Raw genomic sequence first — 13,445 nt, 5'->3', positions numbered from 1 at the left:
CAAATATCTATCTAGCTATATATATATGTGAAATTAAATTAATAATTAATAACCTTCCAAAAACAAAACTTTATGCCCCGATGGTGCCTCACTGATTAGGTGTGTGAAACATTTAAGAACGAAATGATACCAATTCTCTACATCTGTTTCAGAAAATAGGAGAGAGAATATTTTCTAACTCATTCTGAGAGTCTAGCATTACCATCGTACTAGAACCTCACAAAGACATTACAAAGAATGAAAACTACAGACCAATATCTGATGAATATAGACACAAAAGTCCTCAGTGAAACATTAGCAAGTTGAATCCAAGAATATATAAAAAGAATTGTATACCACGACCAAGTGAGATTTATTCCAGGTATGCAAGACTGGTTCAGCATTCGAAATCAATTAATATAATTCATCATATCAACTAACTAAAAAAGAAAAATCATAATATCAATAGATTAAGAAAAAGCATTTGACAAAATTTAAAATCTATTTATAAAAAATAAATAAAACTCAGAAAAACTAGAAATAGAAGTGAACTTCTTCAACTTGATAAGTACCTCTACAAAAACTTAGATCTAATATTATATTTTAATGATGAGAAACTAGAAACTTTTCTCCTAAGATGAGTAATGAGGTGAGGATGCTCACTCTCATCACTTCTACACAATATCATTTGTAAGCCCTAGCTAATGAAATAAAAACATTTAAAAAGTCATAAAGATTGGGAAGAAATAAATAAACTGCCTTTGTTTGCAGATGACATAATTAGCTATGTGGAAATTTCCCAAGAGCTAACAAAAACAAAATAAAAACTTTTGGAACTAAAAGGTGATTGTAGCAAGGTTGCAGATTACAAGGTTAGTATACAAAAACCAATTGCTTTCTTACAAACCAACAATGAACAATTAGAATTTAAAATTAAAAACACAATACCACTTACATTAGCACCAAAAAATGAAATGGGTGTAAATCTAACAAAATATGGATAAGAGCTACATGAGGAAAACTTTAAAACTGTGATGAAAGAAGTCAAAGATCTAAATAAATGGAGATGTATCCAATGTTCACTGATAGGAAGACTCAATAGTGTCAAGATATTAGCTCTTCCCAATATGATCTGCAGACTAAATGCATTCTCAATCAAAATCACAGCAAGTTACTTTGTGGATATCAACAAGCTGATTCTAAAGTTTACATGGAAAGACAAAAAATCTATAGTAGTCAAAGCATTAATTTGAAAGAACTTCAAAGTCACAGGACTAGTACTATCTGACAAGAAAACAATAAACTAATATTCCTAGTACATACTGAAACAAAAATCCTCAATGAAATACTAGCATATCACATCGAATAGCATATTAAAAGGATTATACACCTTGAGCAAGTAGAGTTTCTTCCCACAATGCAAGGATGTTTTAACATGTGAAAATCCATCCATGTATTACACTACATTAACAGAATGAAAGACAAAACCACATGATTATCTCAATTGATACAACAAAGGCGCTTAACAAAATTCAATATCCTTTCATGATAAAAATACTCAAGAAACTAAAAACAGAAGGAAACTACCTCAACATAATAAAGTCCATGTATGAAAAGCCCACAGCTAACATTACACTCAATGGTGCAAGATTAAAAGCCTTTCCTCTAAAATCAGGAATAAGACAAGGATGCCTGCTCTCATTACTTTTACTCAATAGAGTCCTGAAAGTCCTATTCAGGCCAATTAGTCAAGAATAAGAAATAAAAGCCATCCAAATAAAAAAAAAGTAAAATCAAGAGGATGACATAATCTTATATGTTGAAAACACTAAAGAATCCACACAAAAAACTGTTAGAACCAAGAAACAAATTCAGCACAGTAGCAGAAAACAAAGTTAACATGCAAGAATCAGTTGTGCTTCTACACACTAACAATGAACAATCTGAGAAGAAAATTAAGAAAAAATCCCATTTACAGTAGTAACAAAAAGATTAAAATACTTGGGAATAAACTTAACCGAGGAGATGAAAAGCTTGTACACTAAAAATTACAAAACATTGCTGAAAATAATGAAAGAAAAGAATGAATGGAAAACCCATCCCATACACATGAATTGAAAGACTTAATATTGTTAAATGTCAACATGACCCAAGGCAGTCTACAGATTCAATGTGATTCCTATTAAAATCCCATTAGTATTTTTGCTGCAGAAATAGAAAAAAATCATATTAAAACTCATGTAGAACCTAAAGTGACCCTAAATAGCCAAAACAATTTTGAAAAAGCAGAACAACGTTGGAAAACTCACAATTTTTTATTTGAAAACATAGTACAAGTCTACCATGACCAAAACCATGTGGCATTGACAAAAAGACAGACATAAAAATTAATGGAATAAAGAGCATAGAAATAAATCTATGCGTACATGGTCAACTAATCTTCAACAAGAGTGCCAAGACCACTAAATGGGGAAAGGACAGTCTTTTCAACAAAAGATGCTGTACAAACTGGAAATCTACATGCTAAAGAATAAAAGTGGAACTTATCTTACTCCACATACAAAATCCAACTCACAATGAATTAAAGGCCTAAATATGTGCTTAGTGTAGGTTGCTATGAAAGAATAGCACAGATTAGGTTATTTATAAAGAAAAGAAGTTTGGCTCATGATTCAGGAAGCTTGAAGGCCTAAGGGCCTTGTTCTGGCTTTTGGTGAGGGCTTTCATGCTGCACCATAACATGGCAGAAAAGCAGAAGGGTGAGTGAGAGCATGTGAAAGACCAGAAGCATGTGGGACAGACTTGCTTTATAACAACTGACTTTCAGGGTAACAATAGTAATCCACTCATAAGTGACCCAACCCCATAAGCCAAACACGTCTCAGTAGGTCCTACCTCCCAAGAACGCTGCATTGGGAATCAAGCTTCCAACACATGAATTCTGGGGGACAAATACTCGAATCATAGCAACTATAAGGCCCAAAACTATAAGTCACCTAGAAAAAAGCATAAGGCAAAAGCTTCATCACATTGGATTTGGAAATAATTTCTTAGATATGACACCAAAAACACAAGCCACAATTGTAACAATAGACAAATGAGACTACATTGAACAAAAAATTTCATGAATCAAAAGACACAATCAACAGAGTGAAAAGGAAACCTAGAATGGGAAAAAGTACTTATAAATCATATATTTGATAAGGGGTTAATACCCAGAATATGAAAAGAACTGCTGCAACTCAACAACAACAAAAAAATCAAATAAACTTGTTAAACAACAGGCAAGACTTGAATCAACAGTTTTCCAAAGATGATACAAAAATGGCCAACAAGCACATGAGAAGATATTCAACATCACTAATCATCACAGAATTGCAATAGAAAGCACCAGCTATCATCTCACACTCATTAGGATGGCTAATACCAAAAAAAGAAAGAAAGAAAGAAAATGACAAGTGTTGGTGGGGACGTGGAGAAGATGGAAGCTGTGTGCTGCTGTTGGGATTATAAAATGGTGCAACCACTGTAGGAAAGAGTATGAGGGTTTTTCAAAAAGTGAAAAATAGAATCCAGCAATCTCACTTCTGCATAAATATTCAAAAAGAAATGAAAGCAGGGTCTCGAAGAGATAGTTGCACGCCAATGTTAATAGCAGCATTATTCACAATAGCCAACAGGTGGAAGCAACCTAGTGTCCATTGTTGGATGAATGGATTTTAAAACGTGGCATATATGTACAAGGTAACACTATTCAGCCTGTAAAAAGAAGAAAATCTTGTCACATGCTACAACATGGATGAACCTTGAGGATGAAGGAGTGACAAACATACCACTCTGGCATATTTACTACTTACATTAAAGGCACTTTCAAAATGGCAGGTGCAAAACAATCACTCTGACTTTTTTGCTGTTTCTTAAAAGCAGAAGAAGAAATTCCCACTGAAATTTGTCCTCCCTACGCTAAAGAAAAAGCAACATTCTTATCATCAAGGATGAGAAAATTGAGGCAGAAAGAATTTTGTACAAACAAGCCTTGTTAAACTAAACTTTATCTTCCTAGCAGTTTCTCCACCCAGTTAAATTTCCTACCACAATCCCCTTTGCTTTATCACATCTTTGCAGCTTACTATTCTTTGTCTTACTTAGGTTATAAGTAACTGACTCTAACTGCTTCTTTGAGTCTTCATTTCTTTATGAATGCTCCTGTACCACTTAAAACTTGTATTAGATATATTTGCATGCTTTTCTTCTGTTAATCTGTCTCCTGTCAATTTAATTCTTAGACTCACTAGGACCCTAAAAGGTAGAGTTTCCCCCCACACGCAAAGACATTATACTAAGTGAAATATTTGTGTCACAAAAAGACAAATACTGTATGATCCCATTCATATGAGGTACCTAAAGTAACCAAATCCATGGAGACAGAAAGTAGAATGGTGATTTTTCAGGAGTTGGGGGGAAAGAAAATAGGGAGTTGTTTAATGGATATAGAGTTTCAGTTCTGCAAGAGGAAAAAGTCCCGGAGAGCTATTTCACAACAGTGTGAACATACTTCACTATGGAACTGCACACTTAAAAACAGTTAAGACAGCAAATTTTATGTTATGTGTTTTTTATCATATAAAAATAACCCTTTTTTTTTTCTGAGAAAAGGTCTCACTCTGTTGCCCAGGCTGTAGTGCAGTGGCACGATCATGGCTCACTGCAGCCTCAAACTCAAGCGATTTCCCCACCTCAGCCTCCCGAGTAGCCGTGACTATAGGCACGCGCCACCATGCCTGGCAAAAAAAAACATTTTTAAAATTAGTAGTTGCTAGAGGTTAGGGGAAGGTGAAGAGGAATAAATGGGTGGAGCATGGGGGATATTTAGATCCATGAAGCCATTATTATAATGGTGGCTATGTGACATTATGAATTTGCTGAAACCCATAGAATATGCAACACTTAATGTTAACTGTGGACTTTAGTTAACGGTATTGTATCCATGTTTATTAATTGTAGCAAATATGCCACACTAATGCATAATGTTAGTAATAGAGAACATTGAAGAGAGGATGAGGTGCATGGAAACTCTGTACTTTCTGCTCAATTTTTCTGTAAACCTAAAACTGCTCTAAATAATAAAGTCTATTAGATAAAATTAATTAATTAATTAATTTGTAAAGAAAGCAAAGATGAGAATACATGTCTCTTCGAGCTCTGTGGCTCCATGCTACCCACGTGTCATCTATTCCTACGAAGACCCCTAGTTTTAGAAGTCCCCCTTGGCATTCATATGTTCTTCCACATGTGTTTGTATACTATAGTCTATATCTTAATTTAAGCATTGCAGAACTTTAAAAATCATTCATTTTAAAAACAAACATACTGTCCATGAATTTGTCATCTGTTTCTGCCCACAAGGGCCAGCTTTACACTCTCTCACTCCTAGATGTCCATATATTTCTCTCCTGTTTAATGTATCCAGGGGCATAAACAAGCATAAAATTCTGTCTCCAATAATGGAATTAGAGCATCCTGTTACACACACCCCCAAGAAAATAAAAGATTAAAGTACACCAAGTTAGAAGAAGGACTCCTCAAAGGTGCTCCATTTGTGTCTCATCAGACTGAGCCTCTGTCCCTTTGGGTCCTGGACATTTGCTATGGGTTGTTTTCAAGGGTACTACATATAAATGCATCTACGAGCAATCTCATGACCACACATAATTTCATCTCATCTCTCCTTCCTCTCCCTGTCCTCATACAGCTCAGCAGTAAGAGCTCCTTTACTCAATTATTAACAGTACTGAATAAATTGAAAAAAGACACAGGAAAATCAACAGAAGAGAGGGATTTTTGTTCTTACTTTACTCACCATGATCTTGACAACTCATACATTTTTAAATGTTAGCAGGCAGTGCTCTAATATTTACTGTGCATGTGTCTTACACTATAATATATTAATATAAGTTCCTTCTTTTTAAGGATGAGATCTTTTTGTTTGACCTTTTAGAAAAAAAAAAAGCATATTTCATTATAGTGCCCTGACTTCCCTTTCAGATTTACACTAAGCGAAAATGACTTTCAGGTATTTATGTCATCCTCACATTTTTCACGATTCACATAAAGCTGAGAACAGGAATTCATGTGGGCTTGTTTACCTGGAAAAGGTAGACTATTTCAGCTCACTATCATCAACCGGGCCAAGTAAAGTACTTTAGTTAGCAAGTAAATCAAGGCCAAGTAAAGAACTTTAGTTAGCATCACCAAAGGTTAACAATATCATCCAGTGTCCTCATTTGTAAATAAATCAGGAGAATGGTGAGAGAATTGTGCCCAGAATCGTTTCACCAAAGAGGATTTGGGGGTTGAAAGTAAACCCAGGGCACCATCTCTGAACCTGCTGCTGTGTGACAATTATAATGCTTTTCTAACTTAACTGTTAAAATCCAAGCAGCACAAGCAATTAAAAAAAAAAAACTGAGTCAGAATGCTTTGAGCCATTTAGCTTAAACAATAAACAGATTTACTATGCCATAAAATGAGAAGTCCAGGTGCAAAGAAGTTTGACAATTGGCTGAGAATCACAACTGCCCCAAGGACTCAGGTTTCCTCCACTTCTTGTTCTGCTATTTGACTTTTACCACCTCACTTGTCCCTTCCACGGCTGCAAGAAGGCTGAAGCAAGGTGAAGCATCCTATCTTCACATAGCAACATCCAAGACCTAGAAAGAGAATGGTCCTTCTTCATGCCACCTTTTAATAATGAAGGAATGCTTTTTAGAGAGTCCCAGCACCGCTACTATCAGTATTGAATTCTGTTCAGATGTTAGGCCCATTTAAAAGTTGGGTTGTTTGTTCTTTTATTGCTGAGTTTTAAGAGTTCTATGAATATTTTGGATACCCATCCTTCATCTGATATGTGTTTTGCAGAGATTTTCTCCCAGGCCATGGATGTCTTCTCATTCTCTTTACAGTGTCTTTCACAGAGCTAAACTTTTTCATTTTAATCAAATCCAACTTATTCATTTTTTTAAATTTCACATATCATGCTTTTGGTGTTGTATCTAAAAAGTCAACAAGAAACGCAAGGCCACCTCGATTTTCTCCTGTTATCTTTCAGAAGTTTTATAGTTTTAAATTTTGCAATTATCGTTATTCTATTTCTCTTATCCGTGATTGCTGTAGGAATGGGCAGAAATATATTTGCATTCCTACAGCCATCTCTGGTAAGAAGAATGGACTGACCATAATTGTTTTCAACTATTGACTATTAAATTTCTCCTGACGTTCGAGTCATCTGGCCTATTAGTCAGGATTCTCCAGTGAAACAGAAAAATGGGGATGTGCATCGAGACTTATTAGAAAGAATTGCCTTACATGATTATGAAGGCAGGGGGTTACAACATATGCAGTCTGGGCCAATACGGTGGAAACTCAGAGGAGCCAATGATGAGCTTCCAGTCTGAAGGCAATCTGATAGAGAATTTCCCCTTGCTGGGGGGAGGGGGAGGTATCTTTTTATTTTTCTATTCAAGCCTCCAACTGATTGGATAAGACTGACACACATTGTGGAGGACAATTTGGTTATTTAAAGTTCACTTATTTAAGTATTAACCTCATCCAAAAACACCCTCCAAGTTGACACAGAAAATTATCCACTACAAGTCTAAACTTGTCAACTTGGCACTCACATGCATCTCTTTAAACCGCACGTAACCTCCTAATAAACACAAAAACGGTCATACTTCAACCTACCCTGAGTGCACTAACTGCTTTCCTCAAAAAGGATTAAAAGTCCTTTTTTGATGTTCTTGATGATGTTTACTCTTCTCGATATCTTATAACTTATATACTATGATAAAAAGCCAATACAACTTATGTTACCGGATAAGGGGAAAAGAGAGGGGAGAAAACAAAGGTATTTGTTATATATGTATGTATATGTATATACTCATGTGCCACATAATTCTGTTTCAGTCAGTGATGAGCCACACATATAATGATGGTCCCATAAGATTACCATATACTTCCCATTGTGTTACAGTTGCCTACAGTATTTAGTACAGTAACATGCTGTACAGGTTTGTAGCATGGGAGCAATAGACTATACCACGTAGCCTAGGTGTATAACAGGCTGTACCATCTACATGTGTCTAAGTTCACTCTATGATGTTCACACAATGACAAAATTGCCCAACAATGCATTTCTCAGAACATACTCCCTCATTAAACAACACATGACTGTATACACACACACACACAAACACACACACACACACATTTATAACAAAATACAGAGAACCTACTCATAAAAATTACAGTCCTCATTTTTGTAAAAGATTACTTATACATAGATGGTATTCATACCACATTCTTCCACTATTCATTTCATATTCTCTTTCTCTCTCTCTCTCTTTTTTTTTTTTTTTTGAGACAGGGTTTTCCTCTGTCACCCAGGCTAGAGTGGAGTAGCATGATCGCGGCTCACTGCAACCTCTACCTCCTGGGTTCAAATGTTCCCCCCACTTCAGCCTCCTGAGTAGCTGGGATTACAGGCACACACCACCATGCCTGGCTAATTTTTGTAGTTTTTGTAGAGCCAGGATCTCACTGTGTTGCTCAGACTGGCATTTCATATTCTCTTTACCTTCAGCAAGCACCTCAGCTGGCCATGGTGCTTTAGCTGGTGGGGTGACTCAAACCTTCACTCCTGAAAAGTCTGGTCCATTCGGATTCTGAATTGGGCTATTGTCAATTCCTACTGATTTTAATCACAAGGCATTGCGATACTCAGAGATGCCCTAGGGGATCTCCTGAACTCCAGACATGTTCTTCCTAACCTCCACTGTGGAGTAGTCAGGATCAGTCCCTCCTGTGAGCGCAGTAACTTTCTTCTTTGCCTGCTAATTGAGAGGTATAAGGAGTCCAAAGTGGCTGGCTGGCAGTCAACTTCCAGTTCAGTGGAATCATTTTTGTGTTTCCTGGTGGAAGGATTTCTTCCTTTGGAAATAAGTTCTCTAGATCAGCAGAGAATAAAGTCATGAGGAGAGAAGGCAAAAATTTTGCTAGTGGGTTACTAGGGGTAATGGCGAGTGGTGCTACTCCCATTTCTGTCCCTTGATTTCTAGACCTGTGAATCTTGGATATGAGAGAAACAGGATGATACATTGTTGCCGATTCAGAGCATACACAGCCTCCTGGACAATATTGCTCCAGCCCTGCAAGGCATTGCCACCTTGCTGGCACCATACTGAGTCTTCAAAAGGCCATGCCAACATGCTATCAAACCAGCTGTTTCAGGATGGCAGAGAACATGGTGAGACTGGTAGATTCCATGAGCTTGGGCCCATCACTACACTTCTTTTGCTGTGAACTCAGTCATTTATCAGAAGCAATGCTGGGTGGAATACCATGACAGCAGATACGGCATTTTGTAAGTCCACGGATGGTAGTTTTGGCCAAAGCAGTGCATACAAGGAAGGCAAATCTTTATCCAGAATAAATATTGAATCCAATAAGGGCAAATTGCTGCCCCTTACATGATGAAATGGTCCAACGTAATCAATCCACCACCAAGTATGTGGCTGATCACCCCAAGGAATGGTGCCATGTGAGGGACTCAGTGTGATCACTTTTGCTGGCAGATTGGGCACTCAGTGGTGGCCATAGCCAGACTGGCCTTGGTAAATGAAAGTCCATGTCGCTGAGTCCATGCATCATCTCCACCCCTGCCACCATGGCCACTTTTTTCATGAGCTCATTGAGTGATGACTAGAGTGGCTGGAGAAAGAGGCTGACTGGTATCCACAGAATGGGTTGTCCTATCCACTTTATTAAAATCCTCGGCTGAAGTCATGGCACGCAAATGTCTCCATATTTTTGCCAAATTCAGAGACATCTATCCATATAGCTCTTTTTGAAATTTCTTTGTTGCCAAGTTTTCTAATCACGTTCTTTCCAAATTCTTGACCATCCAGCCAAACCACTGGCCACAGCCCATGAATTAGCACATAATTGTACTTTTGGTTCTTTCTCTTTCCAAGCAAAGTGAGCAATCAGGCGCACTGCTCAAAGTTCTGCCCACTGGGAGAATTTTCCTTCACCACTGTTCAGGAACGTCCCAGAGACAGGCTGTAGTGCTACAGTTTTCCACTTCCAGTTGGTGCCCGTATGTTGTGAAGCCCCATCTGTAAACCAAGCCTGAGTCCTCTCTTCCTCTGCAAATGGATCCAAAAGAACTCCCATGAGGCCATAGATGCAGGTTAGGAGAGTGAGGGCAGTATAGCAGGAGTGGGGCCATGGGTACTTGGGCTACTTTTTCATGTAAATTACCTGTGCCTTCAGGGCCTGCTTGAGTTCAGCCTTATATATACCACTTCTATTTGACTGTTGCTGTGCCTGTCAAACTTAATGGCTTAGTGGATCAGATTGCACTGGTTCATGATGGGCAGGACATGTCCCATAGTAACTCCATGGTCAATGGTTAAATGTTCAGTCTCCACTAAGGCCCAGTAGCAAGCCAAGAGCTGCTTCTCAATAGAAGAATAGTTATCTGTGCACTGTGATTCACCTTTAGGGACCTGCCAAAGGTGCCAAACAGCCTGCCTATCTGCTACTGATGCTTCAACCACCACTGGATCTGCTGGATCATATGGCCCAAGCAGTAGAGCAACTTGTACAGCAGCCTGGACCTGTTGTACAGCTTTCTTCTGTTCTGGGTCCCACCGCTCACCATTACCCCTAGTGACCCACTAGCAAACACTAGCAACTTTCTGGTTCACTCAATAAAAGGGCCACAGCAACATATCTAAATGAGAATTACATTGCTTTCAAAATCCCAAGAGGCTCCCTAGGCTTTGTGCCTATTGTTTGTCTGTGTGTGTGTGTGTGTGTGTGTGTGTGTGTGTGTGTGTGTGTGTGTTTTAGAGGGGCCAGATGCAACAACTTATCATTTACCTTAGAGGGGATATCTCAAGGTGCCCCACACCACTGGACCTCCAGAAATTTCACTGAGGTAGAAGCCCTCTGAATTTTTATCAGATTTATTTTGCATCCTTCAGCATGCAAATATCTCACCAATTTGTCTAGAGTAGTTGCTACTTCTTGCTCACTAGGTCCAGTCAGCATAATGTCATCAATGTCATGAACAATGTTATATCTCAGGGAAGGGAAAGGTGATCATAATCTCTGTGAACTAACTTATGACACAGGGCTAGCGAGCTGATAAACCCCTAAGGCTAACTGCTTATGGTGGATCTTATGGACAGGGATGAAGAAAAAGGGATTTGCCAGATCAATAGCTACATATCCGGCACCAGGAAATGTGTTAATTTGCTCAAACAATGTAACCACATCTGGCGTAGCAGCTGCAATTGGAGTCACCACCTGGTTAAGCTTACAATAATCCACTGTCATTCTCCAAGATCCATCTGTCTTCTGCATAGGCCAAATAGGAGAATTACATGGGGATGTGGTGGAAATCACCACCCCTGCATCTTTCAAGTCCTTGATGGTGGCACTAATCTCCACAGACCCTCCAGGAATGTGATATTGCTTTTGGTTTACTATTTCTCTAGGCAGAGGTTGTTTTAGTGGCTTCCACTTGGCCTTTTCCATCGTAATAACCCTCACACCATAGCTCAGGGAACCAATGTGGGGATTCTGCCAGCTGCTGATTAAATGTATTCAAATCATGCTTTCCAGAACTGGTGAAATAACCACAAGATGAATTTGGGGACCCATTGGGCCTACGCTGAAATATATCTGAGCTAAAACTGCATTGATCCCCTGACCTCCGTAAGCCCCTGCTCTGAATGATAGACCATAGTGATGCTTGGGTCTCCTAGAATTAGTGTCAGTTCAGAGCCAGGGTCCAGCAGCTCCCAAAATAACTGATTATTTCCTTTTCGCCAATGCACTGTTACCCTAATAAAAAACTGAAAGAAAGATAGGAGAAAGATTAACAATATAAATGTTTGGTGGTATATAAGGGTCCTTCCTCAACAGGATGCAACGCAGCCTCCCCTTCATCCAAGAGGTTCTAGGTCTGTAAACTGACTCAAGTCTGTAATCAATTGAGTGACTTCTATTTTTATAGTTTAGGTTAGACTTTTGTTCACTTGACCTAGAACTTTCTGCTTATACAGATCAAGTAAACATTTAGTAGGCTTGCTATCTATTTTGGTTCTAGGAACACCATCATCAGCTAGCCCATGCCCTAAGTCTGCAGTAGTCAAACCCTTCTGCTTGCTGCCTTGACTCTACTGTCCGTTGCCTTAATCATGCTCACCTTGCCTTTGATGGTTGAGTGCAGCCCCCACTTGGCCCTTGCCACCCTGGGATTCAGTTACACCCATTGCATTTAGGTTTCATGTCATCTGCAAACAGGGGCAATTTGACTTCCTCTTTTCCTAATTGAATACCCTTTATTTCTTTCTTCTGCCTGATTGCCCTGGCCAGAACTTGCAACACAATGTTGAATAGGAGTGGTGAGAGAGGGCATCCCTGTCTTGTGCCAGTTTTCAAAGGGAATGCTTCCAGTTTTTGCCCATTCAGTATGATATTGGCTGTGGGTTTGTCATAGATAGCTCTTATTATTTTGAGATACATCCCATCAATACTTAGTTTATTGAGAGTTTTTAGCATGAAGGACTGTTGAATCTTGTCGAAGGCCTTTTCTACATCTGTTGAGATAATCGTGTGGTTTTGTCTTTGGTTCTGTTTATATGATGGATTACGTCTATTGATTTGCGTATGTTGAACCACACTTGCATCCCAGGGATGAAGCCCACTTGATCGTGGTGGATATGCTTTTTGATGTGCTGCTGGATCCTGTTTGCCAGTATTTTATTGGGGATTTTTACATCGATGTTCATCAGGGATATTGGTCTCTTTTTTGTTGTGTCTCTGCCAGGCTTTGGTATCAGGATGATGTTGGCCTCATAAAATGAATTAGGGAGGATTCACTTCTTTTCTATTGATTGGAATAGTTTCAGAAGGAATGGTACCAGCTCCTCTTTATACCTCTGGTAGAAATTGGATGTGAATCTATCTGGTCCTGGACTTTTTTTGGTTGGTAGGCTATTAATTATTGCCTCAATTTCAGAGCCTGTGATTGGTCTATTCAGGGATTCAACTTCTTCCTGGATTAGTCTTGGGAGGGTGTATGTGTACAGGAATTTATCCATTTCTTCTAAATTTTCTAGTTTATTTGCATAGAGGTGTTTATAGTATTCTCTGATGGTAGTTTGTATTTCTGTGGGATCAGTGGTGATATCCCCTTTATCATTTTTTATTGTGTCTATTTGATTCTTCTCTCTTTTCTTCTTTATTAGTCTTGCCAGCGGTCTATCAATTTTGTTGATATTTACAAAAAACCTGCTCCTGGATTCACTGATTTTTTGAAGGGTTTTTGTGTCTCTATCTCCTTCAGTTCTGCTCTGATTTTAGTTATTTCTTGCCTTCTGCTAGCTTTTGAA

The 13,445-nt window shown here is 38.5% G+C and overlaps 1 annotated feature.

Annotated features, from left to right (window-relative positions):
• Positions 5,988-6,522: an enhancer, noted in NCBI's record as "OCT4-NANOG hESC enhancer chr2:107535665-107536199 (GRCh37/hg19 assembly coordinates)". NCBI's record gives its function as "activates a minimal SCP1, AML or CMV promoter by ChIP-STARR-seq in primed H9 embryonic stem cells {active_cell/tissue: H9 hESC(primed)}" and the evidence as "EXISTENCE:reporter gene assay evidence [ECO:0000049][PMID:30033119]".

Source organism: Homo sapiens, chromosome 2 (genome assembly GCF_000001405.40).
Source record: "Homo sapiens chromosome 2, GRCh38.p14 Primary Assembly".
NCBI classification, from domain to species: Eukaryota; Metazoa; Chordata; class Mammalia; order Primates; family Hominidae; genus Homo; species Homo sapiens.
This window is presented reverse-complemented; position numbering and strand designations above follow the sequence as displayed.